At 43.0% G+C, this 25290-nt stretch overlaps 1 protein-coding gene and 1 pseudogene across 6 annotated transcripts in view, besides 4 other annotated features; one reads left to right on the top strand and one right to left on the bottom strand.

The window, feature by feature from the left end:
• Positions 1-10173, bottom strand: part of DSTYK (dual serine/threonine and tyrosine protein kinase) — a 69198-nt gene extending 59025 nt beyond the window's left edge. For all 6 annotated transcript variants that reach the window (XM_047417152.1, XM_011509394.3, XM_047417145.1 and 3 more), the window contains exon 1: positions 9742-10173. In XM_047417152.1, the coding sequence (XP_047273108.1) occupies positions 9742-9768 (27 nt within the window). In that variant the 5' untranslated portion in view covers positions 9769-10173. The remainder of the gene's footprint in view (positions 1-9741) is intronic.
• RPL17P8 (ribosomal protein L17 pseudogene 8) lies at positions 642-1242 on the top strand (annotated as a pseudogene).
• Positions 9503-9552: a silencer, noted in NCBI's record as "silent region_1733". NCBI's record gives its function as "represses an Ori minimal core promoter by ATAC-STARR-seq in GM12878 lymphoblastoid cells {active_cell/tissue: GM12878}" and the evidence as "EXISTENCE:reporter gene assay evidence [ECO:0000049][PMID:35858748]".
• Positions 9973-10102: a silencer, noted in NCBI's record as "silent region_1734". NCBI's record gives its function as "represses an Ori minimal core promoter by ATAC-STARR-seq in GM12878 lymphoblastoid cells {active_cell/tissue: GM12878}" and the evidence as "EXISTENCE:reporter gene assay evidence [ECO:0000049][PMID:35858748]".
• Positions 12559-12703: an enhancer, noted in NCBI's record as "145 bp 1:205183288 sequence used in MPRA reporter constructs". NCBI's record gives its function as "activates a minimal TATA-containing promoter with rs12137432 allelic activity by MPRAs in C283T melanocytes {active_cell/tissue: C283T}" and the evidence as "EXISTENCE:reporter gene assay evidence [ECO:0000049][PMID:36423637]".
• Position 12631: a transcriptional cis regulatory region, noted in NCBI's record as "rs12137432 or 1:205183288 MPRA-significant variant associated with a GWAS melanoma risk locus at 1q32.1". NCBI's record gives its function as "allelic transcriptional activity by MPRAs in C283T melanocytes {active_cell/tissue: C283T}" and the evidence as "EXISTENCE:reporter gene assay evidence [ECO:0000049][PMID:36423637]".

Genomic DNA, 25290 nt, shown 5'->3' on the forward strand with positions numbered 1-25290 from the left:
CTATGGGGCCAAAAAAAACGCCCTTCCAAGGAAGGAATTAAATTGCATTTAATTTCAAAACATCATTCCAATATCCACCAGCTGTGGAAATAATTTAACAGATATTTATTTGCCCATTATGTACAAAGCACTATGGTAGGCACTACTGGGGGTACAAAATGAGTAAAACATACTCTTTACCCTTAGGGGTACACAATCTTGTCAGCAGGCTAAGACAAACATACTCACAGCTATCATACAAAAGAAAAGGCTGGGCGCAGTGGTTCACACCGGTAATGCCAGCACTTTGGGAAGCCAAGACGGGAGGATCACCTGAGGTCAGGAATTCGAGACCAGCCTGACCAACATGGTGAAACCCTGTCTCTACTAAAAATACAAAATTAGCCGGTCGTGGTGGTGCATGCCTGTGATCCCAGCTACTCAGGAAGGCTGAGGCAGGAGAATTGCTTGAACTTGGGAGGCAGAGGTTGCAGTGAGCCAAGATTGCACCACTGCACTCCAGCCTGGGCATCAGGAAAGGAAATGTGGGAAACTCGGGAAGGGGAGAGGGGAAAGGGAGAAGGGGAAGGGAGAGGGGGAAGGGAGAAGGGGAAGGGAAGGGAAGGGGAAGGGGAAGGGGAAGGGGCTTCTTCCCCTACGTGGCCTGAGGTAATCCGTGAAAATGGTTCGCTATTCACTTGACCCAGAGAACCCCACAAAATCATGCAAATCAAGAGGTTCAAATCTTCGTGTTCACTTTAAGAATACTCATGACACTTCTCAGGCCATCAAGGGTATGCATATACGAAAAGCCACGAAGTATCTGAAAGCTACCACTTTACAGAAACAGCATGTACCATTCCAACATTACAATGGTTGCGTTGGTTGGTGTGCCCAGGCCAAGCAGTGGGGCTGGACAAGGTCAGTGGCCCAAAAAGCTTGCTGAATTTTTGCTACACATGCTTAAAAATGCAGAGAGTAATGCTGAACTTAAGGGTTTAGATGTAGATTCTCTGGTCGTTGGGCATATCAAAGTGAACAAAGCACCTAAGATGCGCCGCTGGACCTGCAGAGCTCATGGTCGGATTAACCCATACGTGAGCTCTCTCTGCCACATTGAGATGATCCTTACTGAAAAGGAACAGATTGTTCCTAAACCAGAAGAGGAGGGTGCCCAGAAGAAAAAGTTATCCCAGAAGAAACTGAAGAAACAAAAACTTATGACACAGGAGTAAATTCAGCTTTAAAGTAAATACAATTAAATATTTTTTTAAAAAAAGGAAAGAAAAGAAAGTAAATAAAGGCATAATCTGTATGAGCAGAGCCTATATTAACTGAGTAACAGGTATAAGGTAAAATTCATATTCCCCTTTATTTCTGTAACTTTTTTTTAGGTTTTATTCTGAAAGGATTGTTTTTGAGAAGTGCATTTATTGGAGAAAGATTCCCTGTTCTCTTAACCTAGTAAAACAGAGAACAGAAGCATGGAGAAAGAAAAGGAGAAAGTAGACAGAGCAAAACAAAATATAAAAACCAGACTGGATTTTTATTTAAATCCATGCCTTCTGTAAAAACTACTTGCAAGGCTGAAGAACTAACCATACTGAAATCAGTAATGACTTTTAAGACTAAACATATTGCAAATTATAATAAGCTTAAAGGCAATAATATTTTCTCTTTTAAAAGCAGGCAGGATGGGCATGGGAGCTCACGCCTGTAATCCCAGCACCTTGGGAGGCCAAGGTGGCCAGATCACTTGAGGCCAGGAGTTCAACATCAGCCTGGCCAAAACGGTGAAACCCCGTCTCTACCAAAAAAAAAAAATAGCCAGGTGTGGTTCGCGCGTGCCTGCAGTCCCAGCTACTTGGGAGGCTGAGGTAGGAGAATCATTTTTATCTAGGAGGCAGAGGTTGCAGTGAGCCAAGATCCAGCCTGGGCAACAAGAGTGAGACTGTCTCAAAAAATAAAATAAGAAAAGGAGAGGGGAGGGGAGGGGTAGGGTAGGGAAGGGGAGGGGAGGGGAGGGGTACGGTAGGGAAGGGGAGGGGAGGGGAGGGGAGGGGAGGGGAGGGGAGGGGAAGGGAGGGGGCAGAATTTCCCAATGTTTTTTAATAGCAAGCTGACCAGCTGGGCAAGGTGGCTCATGCCTGTAATCCCAGTGCTTTGGGAGGCCGAGGCAGGTGGATCACCTGAGGTCAGGAGTTCCAGACCAGCCTGACCAATATGGTGAAACCTTGACTCTACTAAAAATACAAAAATTATCTGGGCATGGTGGTGTGTGCCTGTAGCCCCAGCTACTTGGGAGGTTGAGACAGGAGAAATGCTTGAACCGGGAGGCAGAGGTTGCAGTGAGCTAAGATCATGCCACTGCACTCCAGCCTGGGCAACAGAGCGAGACTCTGTCTCAAAACAACAACAACAAAAACAGCAGGCAGACCTGTACCATGGGAAACAGATTACCCCCAGAAAGGAAGATTCGGAAGGAGAAAGGCCAGAAAGGGAAAGGGTGCAAAGAGCCACTGTGGTTAGGGAGGCCATTTCCTCCCAGGGAGCAGGAGATAGCAAGATCAGCAACAAGGGGCCTGATGCCCTAAATGTCAGGGAGTGGAAACTAGAATAAGAGCCTGAGTAGGTAGTGCCACATTATACTCATTCAATCAGATAGTCTCCCACTCAGTAAATGACAGTTCCATACAAGCTGTGGAGCCTGGGTGACGACTCATCTGTAACAGAGTCTCTTTACTGCCAGGGTGTATTTTGTATTCCCATGGTCAGGTCAGAAAAGAACAAAGGAAGAGCCGCAGAAGCAGAATTGGACTGGGAGCCTAGAGACTCGGGCCTAAATCTGCCTCTAGCTCAAAACTGTTCTGTCCCACATTCCATCTTTCTGTTCCTCTCATTCTTCTGCGAACCCCATGTTCCAACTTTCTAAATCAATGCTCACCATACACACACACACACACACACACACACAACCACTCAAACAGCCATATATATTTAGCATTAATTATATGCCTGTGCTTTAAGGTATATTATCTCCAAATGTCACAACTTTGTAAGGCAGGTATTATCACTCCCATTTTATTTATTTATTGAGATATAATTCACCCCTTTTAAGTGTACAATTCAGTGGCTTTTAGAATGTTCACAAAGTTGTACAAGTATCATCACTATTTAATTCCAGAGCACTCTCATCTCCTCCCAGAAAAATTCCATACCCATTAGCAGTCACCCCTTATTTGCTCATTTTCTTCTCCCCACATCTCCTAGCAACCACTAATCTACTTTCTATCTCTATGAATTTGCCTATTTTGGATATTTCATATCAATGGAATCATACAATATGTGGCATTGTGTATTACTCCCATTATATATATGAAGAACCCAAGATTCAAATAGGTTAAGTAACTTGCCCCAAGTCACACAGTTAAAAAGAGAATGCACTAGAATAGGAACCTAGGTTTCATTCAAATGCTATGCTTGCTTTTGGCCACTGAATGCTGCTTCCATGAGGGAAGAAAATTAAGAAAGAAAGACCAAGTTTTGGATATACTTGGAAAAATGGGATTTTGTTAATCTAAGGTATTACCTTAGAATAGATTATCTTTTATTAAAAGTAATAACCAAAACTACAGCACTATCTTTACTGAGCTTATGTTGAAATGCACTGGCAACTCTTCTAAACAGATGATAGCAAACTACCACAGAGTACACCCATCCCAGTCTCAGCACTGCTGTCACTGTGCTCCACCTCACAATCCCAGCTTCTCCCCACCCCTAAGCCCCATAAAGATGACAGCTCTATAAAATGAAGCTCTAAAGAATCTCCTCTTTCCCAACTTTTCATCCCTTCCCCAAATGTCACTCTGCCACTTAAACTTACTTATCATACAAATTTCTAAGATGACCAAGGAAAATGCCTATTTATTTTATTTTATTATTATTATTTTTTTTTGAGACACAGTCTCACTCTATCACCCAAGCTGGAGTGCACTGGCATGATCTCAGCTCACTGCAATCTCTGCCTCCTGGGTTCCAGCGATTCTCCTGCCTCAGCCTCCTGAGCAGCTGGGATTATAGGCCCGCACCGCCATGCCCAGCTAATTTTTTGTATTTTAGTGGAGACGATGTTTCACCATGCTGGCAGGCTAGTCTCGAGCTCCTGACCTCAGGTGATCCACCTGCCTCAGCCTCCCAAAGTGCTGGAATTACATGAGTGAGCCACCGCGCCCAGCCGAAAATGCCTATTTTAAATAAGTACACTAGTGCTTTTCCCCTTCTTTTAAATGCTGGCACATTTAAAAGGTGTGACAAAAAGAAGGTGAAGAATGTTGGAGAAACATAGCTGTAAGCTCACCAAAGGCAAAGAGCTATAAAAAAAACCTGAGAATTATAACTCATATAAAATGCTTATAACCTCCCTTAGCATTCTGCTTTTTTATGTACGTGTTTTATGTGTTGCACACGTATATGGTTTAGATTAGATTATACCTTTCTAGAGGACCAAGTTCAGGTCTTCTTAGACCTTTTTAATCCATCATCAAACATAAATGATTATTGATGATAATTATAATTATTTTTTCTTTCTTAAAAGTATAGAAGGGAAAGACTGATCTTCACTGGCCTAAGGCCAAGGCCAATGTCTTTATTTGACTCTTTATCCCCCATACGCAGCACATTGCTCAGTACATACCAGGCACTCAGGTATTTATTGAATAATAGCTAATACTTACATAGCACCTTAGCAGGCACTGGTTTTTTTTGGTTTTTTTTTTAGTTTTTTGTTTTTGAGACAGAGTCTCGCTCTGTCGCCCAGGCTAGAGTGCAATGGTGCAATCTCGGCTCACCAAAACCTCCGCCTCCCGGGTTCAAGCGATTCTCCTGCCTCAGCCTCCTGAGTAGCTGGGATTACAGGCATGCACCACCATGCCCGGCTAATTTTGTATTTTTAGTAGACATGGGGTTTCTCCATGTTGGTCAGGCTGGTCTCAACCTCTTGACCTCAGGTGATCCACCCGCCTCAGCCTGCCAAAGTGTTGGGATTACAGGCGTGAGCCACCGCACCTGGCCTGTTCTTTTTTTTTTTTTTTTAAAGACAGAGTCTTGCTTTGTCGCCCAGGCTGGAGCACAGTGGGGCAATCTCGACTCACTGCAACCTCCGCCTCCCAGATTCAAGCGATTCTCCTGCCTCAGCCTCCTGAGTAGCTGGCATACAGGCACCTGCCACCCTGCCCGGCTAATTTTTGTATTTTTAGTAGAGATAGGGTCAGGCTGGTCTCAAACTCCTGACCTCAAGTGATCCGCCCTCCTTGGCCTCCCAAAGTGCTGGGATTACAGGCATGAGCCACCGCTCCCGGCCCAGGTCCTGTTCTAAACATGCACATAGATTCACTCCCAAGAACTCTAGAGATCAGTACTGTTATAATCCCTATTTCCAGATGAGGAAATAAAGGCACAGCACAGTTGTGATTTGTCCAAGATCATTTGGTTAGTAAGAGGTGAAACCAGGATTCAAAGAAGGCACCACAGACCACAGAACTCCAACAACACATATTTAAGTCACTCCAGTATCTTTTTTTTTTTTTTTTGAGACAGAGTCTTGCTGCGACACCCAGGCTGGAGTGCAATGGCTCGATCTCGACTCACTGCAACCTCCGCCTCCTGGGTTCAAGCGATTCTCCTGCCTCAGCCTCCCGAGTAGCTGGGGTTACAGGCACGCGCCATCATGCCTGGCTATTTTTTGTACTTTTAGTAGAGATGGGGTTTCACCACGTTGGCCAGGCTGGTCTCGAACTCCTGACCTTGAGTGATCCACCTGCCTCGGCCTCCCAAAGTGCTGGAATTACAGGCGTGAGCCGCCGCACCCGGCCCACTCCAATTTCTTAAAATTGAGAGGCTTATGACAAATTGCAACAGCTAGGAACTTTACTGGATAATAAAACAAGAAAAATACTTTCCCATGCCGGGCACAGTGGCTCATGCCTGTAATCCCAGCACTTTGGGAGGCCAAGGCAGGCAGATCGCTTGAGGTCAGGAGTTTGAGACCAGCCTGGCCAACACGGTAAAACCCTGTCTCTACTAAAAATACAAAAACAAAATTAGCTGGGCCTGGTGGCAGGCGCCTATAGTCCCAGCTACTCAGGACGCTGAAGCAGGAGAATCACGTGAACATGGGAGGTGAAGGTTGCAGTGAGCCAAGATCACGCCACTGCACTCCAGCCTGGGCAATACAGAGAGACTCTGTCTCAAAAAAAAAAAAAAAAAAAAAAAAAAAAAAAAAAAAAAGAAAAAAAATACTTTTCCCTCTGCTACTCTTAATACTCCACCCTGCCTTTCCTCAGAAGTGCTCAAAGCCTTTATTTATGTATTTATTTATTTATTTTTTGAGACAGAGTTTCGCTCTTCTTGCCCAGGCTGGAGTGCAATGGCGTGATTTCGGCTCACCACAACCTCCACCTCCCACATTCAAGTGATTCTCCTGCCTCAGCCTTCCCCAGCAGCTGGGATTACAGGCATGTGCCACCATGCCCAGCTAATTTTTTTGGATTTTTAATAGAGACGGGGTTTCTCCATGTTGGCCAGGCTGGTCTCCAACTCCCAACCTCAGGTGATCCACCCACCTCAGCCTCCCAAAGTGCTGGGATTACAGGTGTGAGCCACCGCACCCAGCCTTACTTTTTAAATTCTAAAATATCATGTACATTACATATTCTCTACACTGACCCCAGTGAATTCAGAACTATAAAATGTTAGAGGCAAATATTATTTTGGGGTCCTTTACTCTTTTGTGGGTGAAAGTGAGACAATAAAAATTTTTGGTATCATATGGCATTACAAATGGTATATAGACATGAAAATTGTTTTACTATTGTTACCATACTTATACTCCAATCATTTCAAATTTAGAGTTAATCCCTGGTCTTCTTTCAGTTGCTCAAATACCATACTACATCAACCTAGAGGCACAGTTCCATTCTGAAGTGATGCTTAAAACCTACAGGTTTGTTAGGGTAAGAATTGAGTGTTCCTTCAACACCCAAGTTCCTATTAATCAGAGACTAACATTCATAAAAGAAAGTTGAGGACTGGGTGTGGTGGCTGATTACTGTAATTCCAGCACTTTGGGAGGTTGAGTTGGAAGGATCGTTTGAGGCCATGAGTTTGAGACCAGCCTGGGCAACAAAGTGAGACCCCATCTTTACAAAAAATTTAAAAAAGAAAGTTGAGACAGTCTCTGAATAACTTGACCTTACAAAGATGGCCTGTAAATGGGGAGAACAAGAGCTAGTTGTCTTTTTAGGAGTGATTTCTACTTTCTGACATGACCACCTAAACAGCTAGGAAAATGCATCCCTCAAATATACATATTAAGTGTCCCTTCACTAACTTTCCTTGGTGCATTTTTACCCCCAAACTCTCCACGCTGAAAGGAAGAAAAGCATTTTATGGAACAAAACCAAATTGCTCCCACTCCTGCCATCTGCACCCTCCCAGGTTTTTATCTGGGATGGACAGACTCCCGATGGTGAAGAGAGTTAAATACGCAAAGATCAGTTCATGATGCAGTCAACTGGAAAAGCCAATGAAGTGAAATGCAAAGGTATATTTGTATGTCTTAAGTTGTTTTTTAAAGAATAAAAACAACAGCCAACCAAAGTGCCTTGAAAACCTCCATCTCTCTGAGGTTAATCAATTCTCTTTGTTTTAGAAGCAAGTCTAAAATAAATAGTTGTTTTAAAATAAAAACAGCAATAAAGGGCTTTTTAAGATAAGCTGTGAGAGAAACTTCCGAGCAGGAGACACCTCTGGAAAGCACTGTTATGGGTGCGGGTGAAAGTACACATTCTGGGGATCGTCTCAGAAAACATTAGCCCTTCCCATCAGCTGTTTTCTGGTAGCCTCACAGATACTGGTTCTCTCTACAAGTCCATTCCAGGACAGTATATTTCTGGACGTAAGATGTCAAAGACTAGTTTCAGAAAAACTAGTCATCCCCAGAAATGGTGATAAAAATAAGATACTAAGATCATGACAGGGTCCTAAATGATACCGTTCCATTTAGTTGGTTTGGATAGGAATTTAAAAAGCCTTATTTTACCTTGTAACATAAAAGGAGGGGGATGACTAGTTTTTCTGAAACTACTAGTTTTTCTGATACTGTCATGATCTTAGTATCTTATTTTTATCACCATTTCTGGATTCCCAGTCGGATGTAGGATATTAAGCGCAAAACTTTGGGAATATAAGACCTAACACGCAAAGTCAGAACAATTCATCCAGTTCTAAGCCTTGTGTTCAAATTTGCTATGAGCATCTAAATTCATGGTTCTGAAAGTATTTTAACGGACCACCTGCATCACCTTCCCCAGTGTCTTTTATTATTACTATTATTATTATTATTATTATTATTGAGACAGAGTCTTGCTCCGTCGCACAGGGTGGAGTGCAGTGGCACAATCTCTGCTCACTGCAACCTCCGCCGCCTGGTTTCAAGCGATTCTCCTGCCTCAGCCTCCCCAGTGGCTGAGATTACAGGCCTCAACCACCACACCTGGCTAGTTTCTTATATTTTTGGTAGAGACGGGGTTTCACCATGTTGGCCAGGCTGGTCCCGAATTCCTGACCTCAAGTGATCCGCCCCGCCTCTGCCTCCCAAAGTGCTGGGATTACAGACGTGAGCCACCGCGCCCGGCCTCTTCAGGGTCTTTTCATGTTAAATTAGATTCTTAGGACCCACTTCACACACCTATTCAATAGGAATTTATGAGCTAGAGCACGAGACATGGCATTTTTAATACGCCCCTGGGGTGAGTTTAATACACACTTTAGTTTGAGAATCACTAAATTAAACCCACAGACTTCTTTGCTGTTTTGTCCCCAAGATATCTATCTACGTGGAATGTCAGTCCCTTCTCCCTTCCAATCTAAAGTTATTTCCTAATTAGACGCAGTAGTTAACAAATCCTCCAGTTCCCCACCAACAGCAGTTTAAAAGGAAGCAAGACGTTAGGAAAGATTAAAGACTGCACGATTTTAAGTGTTTGGGGGCCTCTGGCACATCCTAGAAAGAATCATGCAAGAAAGAACAAGAGTAGCTAGTTCTCCATTGGCTCAGGACCAAAATGATCCCTTCCCTCTCTTCTTCACCTTAAGCATGAGCAACATCTCTGGCAATTCCGTGGCACCCATCAGATATGATTTCCTCTGGCGACCCCCAACCCTATTTAGAGAATGTCCCCTCTTCACAGAGCTGCCTCATGATTGGTGTGAACACATTTCACATACATCATCAAACCCACACACCCGACTACAGTCCCATGGCCTCCTCGGACTCCCGGGACTCGCTGCCGCCTCTGCTCCATCTCTAAACTGGGGCTCTGACCCACAACGGCGCACGCGCCCGCCCCCAACTCAGAGCAACTTTCCCCACTCCTCGGATTAACTGCTACCCTCTCCGAACGCCGGCCCGCCCCAGGTCCGTCAGCGCACACCCCGGTCCCCGGGGTCCCGCTCCGGGAACTCCGGCCCTCGGTTGCCCCTGGCTCCCGGTCCCCCAGCGGGCCCCTTCCTCCCCTCCTCAGAAGGATGCCCTCCCAAGGTATCCCAGATCCGGCCGGCCCATGCCCGGGGACCCGGCCACACGACACGACTGCCCCTTTCCGCCTGCCCGAGAAGACTCGGGCTTGTTTTGCAGGGCAGGGGTGCGGTCCGTCCTCCGATTTGCCTCTCCTGCCCTCTCTCCCTCCGGGCTGCCCTCCTTACCCGCCTGCAGCCCGGTTTCGGCGACATCGCCTGCAGGGCCGCGCTCGGCCCCGCCGCCGCCCGTGAGGGAGGAGAGACAAGTGTGGTTGTGGGAGCACTTGATGTCGCGGAAGAACTTCTGGGTCTCGCGCAGGTTCTGTCGCAGCCGTCCCAGGTAGCGGCGGTAGCGGCCGAAGCCCCGGCACAGCTCGCGGATCATTCCGCCGCCGCCGGGGCCGGGACCCGAGACGGGCTCGCTGCCCCATGGCACCCCGTCGCCCTCCATCGCCTCTGCCCGCTCTGTCTTTGCGGCTCGGTCCCCGGCCGCAGGCCCGGCCTCCCTCCTCCCCGCCCCCCAGTGCCGAAGGGAGGAGGAATCCGCCTCCTGACGCCCCCGCCTGCAGTCAGCCTGGCTCCCAACCTCCGTCACTGCCGTTGCAAACAAACCAAACCGCAGTGCGCCGCTATCGGAACCTTTCTCTCCACTATCCAGAAGCGTGAGGGAAGGATCGCTGGAGGACACCCTCGCCGCGGGGTCTCCTGGGACTTGCAGTCCGGGCTGGGACCAAACGCCAAAACCTCAAGGCTGGAGAAGGGGAGGCTGTGGATGGGACTGATCCCTTTTGGAGAAAACCCTCACTCGTTCTTGTGTTTTCGCGCTCTCTTCATTTTAAAAAGTGTTCCTAATCCCTCTATGAGCGTCCCTGAGGAGAGGGAGGAGCTGCAGGACCTGAGTGCCAGCAGAAGTGGGGGGGCCTTACCGAAATCGTAGCGAAAGATGTTAATAGTAGAGAAAAGGAAGGAAACAAGACTGAAGACAGTCATCTCCATGGCTACCCTAAGTGGCTCTCTAGTGTTTCGGATACAGTAGATACTGGGGAATCGGCTAAAAGTACCCTGGAAATCGGCTGAAAGTACCCTGGAAATAGGGAAATCTCTTATATTTGCATTGCGTTCCCCTTTTCCAACTTTCCTTCTCCAGACTTGGAAAGGAAGGGTGTGAAAGGATCAACAAGAGCTGTAAGCTGAACTTCAGTGGGTTCCTGAAGTAGGGAGACCGGACTGGGTAAGGGGAAGTTGAGGTTTGTAGCCTTCCAAACTATTTCTGATTATCTTAACTTGGTTTCTGCTAATATGGAGGACTTTCATTGACACACACAGTCACAGACTCCTGGACACAATTACAAAGGGGGCAAAACTTGACGTCACCTCTTTTGTGCTTCCTGAATTATCTCTCCCCTCTTCACCAGGCACAGAGCCCATCTGTATCTTTCTTGCTATAGAAAGACACCGTCTTTTACCTAGGCCAGACTTCTTCTCTGATAGGCTACATGATGTAGTTCCTTGACTGAAATTAAGAGGAGATTTGAGTTTGGATCTGGACTCTTCCTATACCTTGCATTGTGATCTCGGGCAAGACCCCGTTTCATCTTCTATAAAGTAAGGGTTTAGAATGGCAGATCTTTAAGCCCTTTTGGTTTTAAATTTTTGTGAGTCCTGCTTCAGAAATTTTACTTCTCCTGACCTCTCATCGCAGAACACCCAGGTGTTCTTAGCCAAATGATGTCGTGATATTTGGATTAATTGTTGTAAGATGTGAAGGCCTTACCTTTCCAGGGGCATTAGCATTTTATAAAAAGGGGTCACTAATTCAAATGAATCTGTATTTGATAAATGTCTGTGAGGGCTGACTGCAAGGAGGGAGCCTCATGCTCCTTCCCATTTACCCACTCCCCCTTCTGCCTTTTACTTGGTCACGTATTTTCCATCAGCCATTCTTCTTTTGCAAGATTATATTCCCCATGCAATCCCCAAAGGTTCAGTAAAATAGAAATGAAAATTAAAAATGGGAATTTTAATACAAAGTAGATACTATTTTTAAAATAGAAGAGCTGTAAGAAAGCAATGTGTAATGATTTGCCACACACACGAATTTCTAGCACAGGAGATCAGATAAGAGCACTCAAGCTGGAGTTATCCAGAAAAGGAATCTATCTTGAAGAAGGGGCAAAATTTAGATAGGTGGAAGTAATCAGAGAGGGCATTATTTCAGGTAAATATCACAAAGCCCACCCTTTTAAAAACTATTCCTTAGTACTTTGCATTTATTTTCAAAATAAGTAATACACGAATGTGGTATAAAATTCAAATGGTGCAAAGGATATATAAGGAAAAACTAAGTCTTTCTTAGTTTTTCTGTTCACCTCCCAGTCACCTAGTTCCCCTCCCAGGAGGCAACCACTGTTGTAGATATAAATCATGTATAAATAGATCCTATATATGTATTTATATATGTGTATGCATGTATTTTAAATACAAATGATAGCATACGTAATACATATTTGATTATGGCCTTGCAGACTTCTGTACCAAAACATAAAGGTCTGTTTCATTCTTTTTAACTGTGTAACATACTACCACATGGATTGGCATGTTTTATTTAACAAGTCTTCTATTGGCGGACCTTTAGGTTTTTTGCAGTCTTTTGATATTAAAAACAATACTGCAAGAACTAATCTATGTACATCATTTTGAATATGTGTAAGTATATCTCATACCTATTTTTGATCTGTTGAGAAAGGCAATAATTTTTTGCTATTTAAAATCTTAAAAAATGCAAGTGACAATGAGCCCTTTGTAAATCATAATAACTTACCAATTAAAATACATATTTTCTTCAAATATCTAATTCAAAGGACAAATGGAGAAAATAAAGTTTTGAACGGTAAGAAGAGAGGGTTTAAGTTGGTATAGAAAAGTATTTCCTGGCTGGGCACAGTGGCTCACACCTGTAAACCCAGCACTTTGGGAGGCCAAGGTGGGTGGATCATGAGGTCAAGAGTTCGAGACCATCCTGGCCAACATAATGAAATCCCGTCTCTACTAAAAATACAAAAATTAGCTGGACGTAGTGACGCATGCCTGTTGTCCCAGCTACTCAGGAGGCTGAGGCAGGAGAATCGCTCAGGCTTGGGAGGCGGAGGTTGCAGTGAGCTGAGATTGCACCACTCTACTCCAGCCTGGCGACAGAGTGAGACTCTGTCTCAAAAAAACAAAAACCAAACAAAAGAAAAGTATTTCCTGGCCACGTGCAGTGGCTCATGCCTGTAATCCCAGCACTTTGGGAGGCTGAGGCGGGTGGATCATCTGAGGTCAGGAGTCTGAGACGAGCCTGGCCAACAGGGCAAAACCCTGTCTCTACTAAAAATACAAAAATTAGCTGGATGTGGTGGCATGCACCCGTAGTCCTAGCTACTAGGGAGGCTGAGGCAGCAGAATTGCTTGAACCCAGGAGGTGGAGGTTGCAGTGAGCCGAGATCATGACACTGCACTCCAACCTGGGCAACAGAGTCAGACTCTGTCTCAAAAAGAAAGAAAAGTATTTCCTGAAAGTGTCGAGAGTTAAACAATTAATGAAGATGAACACACAGATCTACTTTTGTTCCCTCCTAGAACACCATTAAAATGACAGTAATGGGATTTTTTAAAGCACAAAGCCAGGATAATGAGAGGAGTTGGTAGCAAAAAAGAAAGTGGAAGATGAAAAGCAAATGGGCAAGTTTTAACTAAGAAACCTGAATCCTAAACCCAAAGTAATAAAGTTGAGATCCAACCTTATATTGAAGAATCCCCTAAGTCTTAGAAACTGGTGACAGTAGGTCCCCCCACTGCCTATTGTGGAAGTATAGTTGCTTAAGAGCAGTTAAATCCTGAGGTCACTTCCTCATCTTCAACTTCCACCCCACCCTCCGAAAAACAAGACTGAAGTATTTATTCTCCAGAGAGGGTTAAATAGCTCTCTGCATAAACAGGGAGATAAGTGAATGTATGGATATTGGATACCCTCTTCATTCAATTCCTAGATCTTTGGCTACCAGCTGTTTACCCTCCAAAGATAAAACTTAAAGTGTCATCATGAAGGAATATGAGCAGCCCAAGAAGAAAGACCCAAGTTACTGACATCAGAACTGAGATTTTTGTCTGGCTGTTTGTTTCACTGCTGTATCTCCAGCACCTAGAATAGTGCCTGTCACTTAGTAGGTACTCGTTAGATATTTGTTGAGTGACTGAGTGTTCACTGTAGATTGATTGATTGATTAAGTAGAGGCAGGGTTTTGGGGTTTGCCATGTTGTCCAGACTGATCTCGAACTCCTGGACTCAAGTGATACACACCTGCCTTGGCTTCCCAAAATACTGGGATTACAGGCGTGAGCTATCATGCCCAGCCAACATTTTTTAACATTCAGGAAATCACAAAAGAGAAAGTAAAAACCACTCATACTTTTACTACCCAGAAAAAAACAGTAGGTTATATTGGTATCCATTAATGTTGTCATTGGAGGAAACGAGATAGGTGAGAAATATTCTTTCTAACTTTACTTTTCTATACAAGTTCCTCTTGGTTTGATGATTTCTGGAGAGATTCTGAAGCCTTGATCTTCCTGTTCATGTAGGTGGAAATCATTTTTTTAGAACACCATAAAACATTAACACTTAATTCTTCCATATGAATTAAGAACAGTTTACTAAGAGAAAGTATGACTATTTTCTGTTATGCAACATAAAATCAGAATCACAAATCCAAGAATTTTAAAAATCTACAAATTGAAGGAAAAATAAAGAATTACATATTATTGAGTTTTATTATATTATATTGAAAAATTATATTGATAAATATAAGTATTTCTTTACTACTTGTTTGCTCATTATCATCTTCTAAAGTTACCAGCAGGTAGGTAATATTTAGCTCCAAAAGAGAGGACAAATTATGGAAGAAAAGATGAAAAATACAACCCATTAACCCAATTTTTTTCTATGAATTGGGAAAAGTCACCATTATCGAATTTAACAACCAAACATACTTTCTTGAATCTCAATACTGATTCCCAAGGGAACATGTTTGAGAATCCCTGGTTCTAGACAATCTTGCCCTCTTCCCTGCCTATAGTGTATAATGCTGGCAGTGTTGCAGAACAGTGCTTCTGAAACTTCAGTGTGCTCATGAATCATGTGGAGATCTTGTTAAAATGCACTTCTGATTTAGTAAATCTAGGGTGGTGCTTGGGATTCTGCATTTATTTTATTATTATTATTAATTTTTTTTTTTGAGACGGAGTTTTGCTCTTGTTGCCCAGGCTGGAGTGCAGTGGCATGATCTCAGCTCACTGCAACCTCCGCCTCCTGGGTTCAAGCAATTCTCCTGCCTCAGCCTCCTGAGTAGCTGGGATTACAGACACACGCCACCAAGCCCAGCTAATTTTTTGTATTTTTACTAGAGATGGGGTTTCATCATGTTGGCCAGGCTGGTCTCAAACTCCTGACCTCAGGTGATCCACCCACCTCGGCCTCCCAAAGTGCAGGGATTACAAGCATGAGCCACTGCGCCCAGCCTATCTTATTTTATTCTATTTATTTTATTTATTTATTTATTTTTGAAGCAGAGTCTTGCCCTCTGTCACCTAGGCTGGAGTGGAATGGCATGATCTCGGCTCACAGCAACCTCTACCTCCCAGGCTGGAGGTAAGTGAAAGTGCTTTGAAATGGAAATTGGCCAGGTGTAGTAACTCAGGCCTGTAAATCCCAGCACTTTGGGAGCCCAAGGCAGGAGGATTGCTTGACCCCAGGAGTTGGAGACCAACCTGGGCAACATGGTGAAACTCCATCTCTACAAAAAACTTAAAAATTAGCCAGGTGTGGTGGCACACGCCTGTAGTCCCAGCCACTTGGAAGGCTGAGGTGGGAGGATCACCTGAGCCTGGGGAGGTTGAGGCTGCAGTGAGCCATGATCATGCTGCTGCACTGCAGCCTGGGCAAGAGAGTGAGACCATGTCTCAAAAAAAAAAAAAAAAAAAAAAAGAAATCCTGTAAAAATGTAGGGAAAAGCAAGGGAATCAGAGAGAATCTAACCCGAATTTCCAGTCCTGGCCGTGCTGCTTACTTATTTCATGATCGTAAGCAAATTACTTAGAGCCTCATTCACTTCATCTGTAGAGGAGAACTAATACCCAACTCACAGGGTTGTGAAGATTAAATGACATAATGTTTAAAGCAGTTAGCACCTTACTTTGCACACAGACATGCTTAGGAAATGTTTTCTGTCTGTAGTAACTATTCACATTCAGGATTATGTATTTTTACAAGGAGGATAGCATTTCCAAGAATATTTTATGAGATTCTCTACATGAAGGTTTATTAACTTGAAGATTAAAGCTCTATAAAATTGAACTGCTAAATGCTATTTAATTATACATCAAATATCATTCCAATGCTGAATATTTCATCAGTGCCATGCCTGGCTGTTAGGATGTAGAGCATTGGAGGGAAACAATCAAAGGGAATTTGGTATAACTCTAAACAGAGATCATCTTTGTTTCACTGCCAAGTAGAAGAACAAGGTTTTCCAGAAATGTTTTAGAGTAACTGATCCAAAGCTTTCCAGAAGCCCTGAACATAGTTTTGTCACAATTCATTTTTCATCAGTAAGACAGTAGATCGGCATTGCTTTTCTTTTTCTTTTCTTTTTTGAGACGGAATTTCGCTCTTGTCACCCAGGCTGGAGTGCAATGGCGCAATCTTGGCTCACTACAACCTCCGCTTCCTGGGTTGAAGGGATTCTCCTGCCTCAGCCTCCCAAGTAGCTGGGATTACAAGCACCCACCACCACACCTGGCTAATTTTTTGTTTGTTTGTTTTGAGATGGAATTTCGCTCTTGTTACCCAGGCTGGAGTGCAATGGTGCAATCTCGGCTCACTGCAACCTCCGCCCAGGTTCAAGTGATTCTCCTGCCTCAGCCTCCCGAGTAGCTGGGATTACAGGAATGCACCACCATGCTCAGCTACTTTTGTATTTTTAGTAGAGACAGGGTTTCTCCATGTTGGTCAGGCTGGTCTCGAACTCCTGACCTCGGGTGATCCACCCGCCTCAGCCTCCCAAAGTGCTGGGATTACAGGCATGAGCCACCGGGCCCATCCCCATTATTGCTTTTCTAAGTCTAAATGGCTGTGATCCTTTCTCCACTATGTTATCTGACAGTTCAGTGGAACCCATATTTGGTTTATTTCCCTACCTACCTGGAATAACACCTTATAATTGGTTATATTCTTATCTCTGGGCTGATCCTAGGTGGATAAAGATAGATAGATTAACACCTACCAGTACCCTTTTCTATGTCAATGTCATTTATTTATTTATTTATTTATTTTTGAGATGGGGTCTCTCTCTCTCAATCTCTCTGTCGCCCAGGCTGGGGATGAAGTGGTGCAATCTCAGCTCACTGCAGCCTCAACTACACAGGGTCAAGCGGTTCTACCACCTAAGCCTCTTGAGTAGCTGGGACCACCATGCCCGGCTAATTTTTTTTTCATGGAGTCTCACTATGCTGCCCAGGCTTGTCAACATTATTTTGATAGAGGTTTTCTAGAAGATTCTGAAGCCCAATATCTGAAACATATTCCATCCAGCTTAGTCTGTATCTATCCACATATGCCAAGCCCAATGCCTGAAACAAAGAGTATACTCAATATATATTATCTGAAAGAAAATATTTCCTTTCATTCCCCTCCCTGCGCCCTTTCTCATAAATCCAGCCACCTCTCCAGGGAGGTGGTTTGATGGAAGTGACGGTTAGGATTCTGAAGCAAAGGTGGAAGGCATTCTGGTCAAGAGAACATTCTCTATTCCCAAATTTCAGAGGAAAGAGGGACCTCCACCTATCGAGCTTCACGTGAGCCTCCAAGTGCTTGGAAGAAAGTTCCCGGCACCTGGTTGAGCCACCATCACATATCTCTGTGTTGACAGGGTCCTACCATTTTCCTAGAGCTGATTTCAGAAGCACCAGTCTAGGCACTTTCTCAAAATAAGGCTTAGGGATCCATTTAGGCAAGTTTCCAGTTTACATGCACAAATTTCTTGCATAGGGAATATGACAAATTTTAAGGATGTGGAGGAATAAAGAGTAAAAAATAGTATTTAAAACATTATAAAAATAAATCAATTTTACATAACATTTTAACAGTCTCACATTCTAGCATAAAATTTAGGATTATTTCTTAGCACTGCCTCCCATATTTATCCATGACTTACCCAAAATGTATCAATATAGTTTATATCATATTTCTTTTTTTTTTTTTTGAGATGGAGTCTCGCTCTGTCGTCCAGGCTGGAGTGCAGTGGCGCAGTCTCGGCTCACTACAAGCTCCGTCTCCCAGGTTCACGCCATTCTCCTGCCTCAGCCTCCTGAGTAGCTGGAACCACAGGCGCCCACCACCAGGCCCGGCTAATTTTTTTTTGTATTTTTAGTAGAGATGGGGTTTCACCATGTTAACCAGGATGGTCTCGATCTCCTGACCTCATGATCCGCTCGCCTCGGCCTCCTAAAGTGCTGGGATTACAAGCATGAGCCACCGCGCCCGGCCCAACATATTTAATTCTTACAACAACCCCAGATAGTTTTATCCTTATTTTACAGATGAGGAAATTGAGACTAAGGCTAAGTGATTTTTCTAAGTCCATATAGCTAATAACACAGATTTGTTTGACTCCAAAGCCCTAATTCTTCTAGCTCTACACAATTTTGCATTCTAATGCTTTCATTTTATATTACTTAAAGGCGGCTTTTAATATTTCTATATATTCATCATATTATCCCTTTTAATAGCAGCACAATGTTCCATTCCATTATATTGTTGTGCCTTGTTCCTCATCCATTCCCTATTCTTGAGACATTTTGGTAGTTTCAGGTTTTTCATTATTATTATTATTTTTGAGATGGAGTCTCACTCTGTTGCCCAGGCTGGAGTGCAAATGGTGTGATCTCAGCTCACTGCAACCTCCACCTCCTGGGTTCAAGCAGTTCTCGTGCCTCACCCTCCTGAATAGCTGGGACTACCGGTGCCCGCCACCATGCCCAGCTAATTTTTGTATTTTTCATAGAGACAGGGTTTCATCATGTTGGCCAGACTGATCTTGAACTCCTGACCTCAGGTGATCTGCCTGCCTTGGCCTTCCAAAGTGTTGGGATTACAGGCGTGAGCCACTGCGCTCCGCCAGGTTTTTCATTATTATAAACAATGCTGCAATAAACTTTTTTTGTCATTGTTCATGTAGCTTGTTTTCTTCTTTTGAATTATTTCCTGGAGATCAATTCCCAGGAGGGTATTACTGAGTAAAAGAGTATAAACCTCTATATGGCTGTAGCTCTATGGTACTAAACTGCCATCTGATAGAACTGCACTGTGTCATTGCCTGTTGAAACAGAGTAATATCTTCTTTCACCAGCACCCTGTGAGAGATATAAGACAAGCCTGGGTGGTCTCATTAATGAAAACGCCTTTTGTCCCTATGTCTGCTTGGGTATGTCCCAGAGCCATATGAGCTGCCTGAAAATGGCTTATGACATAAGGATACATAGTCCAGAATAGTATCTCACATGGATGATGTGATTCCCCTTCTCACGAGAGACTTCCTTAAGTGGTCTTTTTGAAGTCACAAGATCAGCAGAAGGTTTTTCAAACAACTGACATTTTCCTCTTAATTCAGAGCAACTCTCCATTCCCATGTTGGAAAAAAGTGTGGTGCCCGTTAGAACTGAAGCCTAGACTTCAGTTAGAATGGCTCATTGTTTACCATTCCAATCTCAGTGTAAAAGGGTTGGGACATTTAGGTAGTTTCAGGTTTTTCATTATTATTATTATTTTTATTATTATTATTATTATTATTATTGAGATGGAGTTTCACTCTGTTGCCCAGGCTGGAGTGCAAATGGCATGATCTTGGCTCACTGCAACCTCCACCTCCCGGGTTCAGGCGATTCTCCCGCCTCGGTGGGTCCTTCCAGGAAGGACAAAAACAAGAAACCTTTTTTTTTTTTTTTGAGACAGAGTCTCGCTCTGTTGCCCAGGCTGGAGTGCGGTGGCGCGATCTTGGCTCACTGCAAGCTCTGCCTCCCGGGTTCAAGCGATTCTCCTGCCTCAGCCTCCCGAGTAGCTGGGATTACAGGCGCACACCACCACGCCCGGCTAATTTTTGTATTTTTAGTAGAGACGGGGTTTCACCGTGTTGGCCAGGATGGTCTCGATCTCTTGACCTCGTGATCCGCCCGCCTCGGCCTCCCAAAGTGCTGGGATTACAGGCGTGAGCCACTGTGCCTGGCCACAAAGTTTGTTTTATGGACTAAATGGGAAGGTGTGTTATGCATATAGTAAGTGCTCAACTAATTAATAAATCTATCAACAAATGTAATCAAACAAGTCTTCCCCTACATCAGTGGTTCTCAAACTTCAATGTACATATCACTTAGGAAACTTGTCTAAAAAGCAGAGTTTCAGGCTCCACCCCCAGAAATTCGGTTTCTATCAGGTTGGAATGGGACCTGGGAATCTGCATATATAACTAAATTTCAAGGTGATTATGTTGCTGGTAGTCCATGAACCATACTTTCAGAAACACTACCCTACAGTCTCAGAGAACAAAGAGAAGAAAAATAATTCCGTTTTAATATGCCATACAACTCTATAGCATGCAGATATAAAATTAAGGAGATCCAAATATTGAATGTTCTATTTTCAAGATGATATTTAGTTCTTCCTTACTTAAAAGAATTAGAATCATCCTAAAGCAATATTTTATCCTTTTAACATTCATGATATGGATGAATGTGTGAAAACATCTCTTTTTGGAGTCATCTTGATCCCTCACAGAGATCTCTCTCTCCTCCAGAACTTGGTACTTAATTAGCTCCCCTTGGAGTGTTGGCAGACATTACCATTTCAATCTTGTGTTGTTAATTGACATTTCGTCTGTATCTCACCTCCCCAACTGGACTTTAAGGCAGGGACGAATGTCTTTTATTGTTCTATATCCTCCACAAGCATATTGTAAAGCCTTTGTACATGATATGTGTTTCATAAATATATGTGAACGAATGTAGAGATATTGAATTGCAGACTAATATTAATTAGAGTATTACTTACCATAAAGTGACTCAAAATTATAGTTGTGAAAAGGTGAGCTATTAGGCTTTTAAGCTTAGAGTAGGGGTGTCCAGTCTTTTGGCTTCCCTGGGCTACACTTGAAGAAGAAGAATTGTCTTGGGCCACACATAAAATACACTAACGATAGCTGATAAGCTTAAAAAAAAAAGGAAAAATGTAATAGAGAAACATGTAATAATGTTCAAAATGCTTCTGAGTACATGATGGTTTTTTGTTTCGTTTTGTTTTTGTTTTTGAGACAGAGTTTTGCTCTTGTTGCCCAGGCTGGAGCCAGGCCACATGATGTTTTAAGAAACATGGAGCCAGGCCACATGATGTTTTAAGAAAGTTTACAGGCCCAGAGCGGTGGCTCACGCCTGTAATCCCAGCACTTTGGGAGGCCAAGGCAGGCAGATCACCTGAGGTCGGGAGTTTGAGACCAGCCTGATCAACATGGAGAAACCCGGTCTCTACTAAAAATACAAAATTAGCCAGGCGTAGTGACGTGTGCCTGTAATCCCACCTACTTGGGAGGCTGAGACAGCAGAATCGCTTGAACCCGGGAGGCGGAGGTTGCGGTGAGCCAAGATCGCACCATTGCCCTCCAGCCTGGGCAACAAGAGCAAAACTCTGTCTCAAAAAAAAAAAAAGAAAGAAAGAAGGTTTACAAATTTGTGTTGGGCCTCATTCAAAGCCGTCCTGGGCTGCATGCGGCCTGTGGGCTGGGGGTTGAACATGCTTGCTTTAGAGTCAGACGGAGCTGAGCACAGATCTTGGACCTATTTTTAAGTGCTGTAACTTCTCTAAGCCTATTTCTCATTTGTAAGGTGGTAATAACACACCTTGTAGGGTTGTTTCAGGAGAGTGTTCACAAGGTTCCTAGCAAAATGTCAAACACCTGTGGATCTCTTTAAATGGTGGACTTTTACTATTACTATTGTATCTAAAAGTACCACATATGATTATAGATAGAACTGCCCACAGATATTTATTTTCAGATGTAAAATAATAAACAATCGATTCTCTCTGAGCAAAGCTGATATTTTCTCTTTCTTTTTAAGGTCTAGAATTTTCAGCTTTAAGTAACAGATTGTCCAGAGGTTTGTATGGATTCCCTATAGAGATGGGAAAGGGCACAAAGCAGCCATTTTACCAGTCCCAGGCTTTCACACATAGTAGTACAATCAGGGTTTAAGTTTATGCTTCACAGTCCTCCTCTGTTCATGGCCATGATTATCATTTTTTCTCCCATTACAGAGGAGAAACCAGAATAAAGAATATGCATCCTACCTGAAATGAGAAGCAGGAACTTCTGGCTTTTTCATATTACAGATAGGAGATTCACCCACCCCAGGAATGAAACAGACATTGGAATCTCCTGTGTAAGTCTTAGGGATGCTGTGAGAGAAATGATCACAAAGTTAGTAATCTGGGTTTGCTTACTCCTTTAAAACATTGCCAGTTTGGGCCAGGCGCCGTGGCTCACACCTGTAATCCCAGCACTTTGGGAGGCCGAGGTGGGCGGATCACCTGAGATCAGGCATTCAAGACCACCCTGGCCAACATGGAAAAACATTTTTAGTCTCTACTAAAAATTAGTCCGCAAAAAATTAGTCAGGCTTGGTGGCAGATGCCTGTAATCCCAGCTACTCGGGAGGCTGAGGCAGGAGAATTGCTTGAACCCAGGAGGCAGAGGTTGCAGTGAGCCGAGATCACGCCACTGCTCTCCAGCCTGGGCGACAGAGCGAGACTCCATTTCCAAAAAAAAAAAAAAAAAAAAAATTGCCAGTTTGGTATCAGAGATTCTGTGTTTTGAATGAAATAATGTATACAATTTCTGCATAAATATAGTAATGGCAGCTTTATTTCTAAAGGCAAAAAATAGAGAAAATTATGTCAAAGGATGAAGTGGATAGTATGTTAAACCATGATATCTTCAGTTGACAGAACATTAAGCAGTCATTTAAAATGTTTACTTAAACATATGGAATATGGCTAATAATATATGGAATAATATGGGAAAATGTAATAATGTTGAAAATGCTGCTGAGTACATTTCAAGTAAAAAATAGGATAAAATTTAGTTTAGGCTAATAAGAGCTTTCTCCAATCAGGAGTGATATAGAGCCTTCCTGGTCCTCTCTTCCTTTTACAATAGCCAGTAAAAAGCCTGTATTTAGGTGGTGGGATTGTGACAACATCAACAATCCAGACAATCTTCTTAAGGATTATTTGCATAGTTTACTCTTCCTAATCCAACAGAACTCAATTTCTTTTAAGGAGTGCACTGCGTGGAAGTGGTCATCTCCAACAAAAAGGGAAGAGAATTACATTAACAAAGGAGTATATGCAATGATATTGGTATCAAAATTCAGTGAGCAAAATTATTATATCTAGTCCCTCTAGAGAGTACTTTTACCTTTGAATCACTCTACTCAGTATGTTAAATCTTAAAATAGCGCACTGACAACCACTTATCCATTTGATGTTTAAATGTTTTTTTAAGTATTGCTATGGAATAGGACATAGAATTGCCTTGGATAATCTGCAAGCTTCTTACTATTGGCAAAAAGAGAAGCCTTTTATTTTTCAGACCTAATTGCTTTTACAAAAAGAAAGAAAACAAAACAAAACCCTACTCTACACTTTGTTAATCTTGGCACCTTATCCTCTATAATGAAAGCTTCAACCATTTATCAAACTAAATGAACTGGGTGTTGACAAGAGAGCAGGATTCCATAATTCTGCCCTTTATACTCCTTGTGTGTATACTTATTGGTTTAGCAAATTTGATACTACCAGAGTGCTCCCTTTCATTAGTTTAACTGGGATTTCTGTTCACAAAAAGCATTCAGCTTATTGGGATAATTCTCTTTCTCATATGGTATATGGGGGGCTTGGACAAGTTAATTATTTTTGTTTCACTTAGTTTTACTGCACATATACCATGTGTCAAGCATTTTCACGTGCATTATCTACCTTCATCCTCACAATAACCAGTGAAGATAGATAGTATTAGCCCTGGTTTATAGATGAGAAAACCGAGGGTGAAAGAGGTTAAGCTCACAAGAAGTAACCGAACTAGAATGCTTACATGAATTTTCTGACACCAAGACCAATGTTCTTCCCACTAAATCATGTTATTTCCTTGTAATTAACTAGGTGTGCCAAAACAGAATGGAAATGCTACTCCTACATAGAAAATATAATCACTTGCATTGTGTATCTGCAAACTTTTGTCTAATCTTGAATATCAAAACATAATTTGTGCCTATATTTTCCCAAAGAAACGTAGAATGATAGAATAATCTAATGCCGTAAACAAAATTTCAACCAACCAAAGTACTTTCAAGTTCTGATTTTCTTAGGTGCTCAAGAATTTGCTGCGGCTAATGAAAATTTGCCATTGGCTTCAAACTGGTGGTTATAGGTCACTCAGGTCTCTACACAGACTTCTCAGCCAAACTTCTTTGGCAGTAGCACACTTATTCCATAATATGACACTCAGTGAAAGTCAGAAATTGGTGGGACACATTTGAACTCCTGAAGATAGAAGCATTGGAGTGAAATGTGCAACACTTCTGAAACTGGATGACATCTGTGGTTATAGCTATGGCCCTCATTCTTTGCTAGGCAATGTCCAAGTGCTTTACATATATTACCCAACACCCTGTATGGTAGGTACTGTCATTATCCCTACTTCCAAATAATTCAGAAACTGGAGCATGAAGAGGTTAGATAACGTGTCCCCACTCACATGGTCAGTGAAGAGCAGAGCTAGGATTTGTCCCCTATCTGGCCATAGAGCCTGAGCTCTTAACCATTATGCTATGATGCCTCTCCAAAATGGAATGTAAAGTATTAGCTGATTTTATGAAACACACCACAGACTTTTTTGCTGACCTGAATCACACCTTGCAAATATGACGACAAGTAGAAAATGTGGCTGTCATGCTGTATGTATATGATAATATAAAAATCAAACTTAAGACCAACTTTTATCTAGTATAGAAATGAGGCATAATTCAAAATTATAATGCTCTCTGCTTCCTTAAACGAAACCAAATCCCTTCCTTAAACCAAATCCCTTCACTTTCCTTCGGCTTCGAGTCAGGTCATGAACATGTGTCAATGCATGCTCACCATTTGCTGGCCACCGCGTGCCCCTCAAGACTTGCTCAGGGTCTTTGGGGCCGCTGCACTTATCTGGGCCAAGTCAGGCAGGGAGCAGTATATTCCTCTGCTTGAAACCTTGCACCATGGGAACCTGCCCCCACCGGTTCTGTCTAGTCCTGCCCACGGTCTACACTGGCATCCTGCCATCCCCTCACCATTGAAAATGCTAAATAAAGGCTTATAGCTTTGTGTTTCCACATTGTGCTCGATTCTTTGTGGTAGATGTGGGGGGTGGTTCCACATTCCCAGCCCATCCTAAATTCCTATCTTCTAAAAGTGGAGCTGCCTAGTTTAGAAAGTAGCTGCTTGGCTGAAGTAAATTCTTAACAAATTAGTCTCTTCTAGGATACACATTAAAATGAGTGGTTGGAATGGGAAGAAGACAGAACAGAAAGTCAAGAAACTCCGACTAGTGAGACTGA

The sequence above is a fragment of the Homo sapiens genome, chromosome 1, assembly GCF_000001405.40.
Source record: "Homo sapiens chromosome 1, GRCh38.p14 Primary Assembly".
Taxonomy (NCBI): domain Eukaryota; kingdom Metazoa; phylum Chordata; class Mammalia; order Primates; family Hominidae; genus Homo; species Homo sapiens.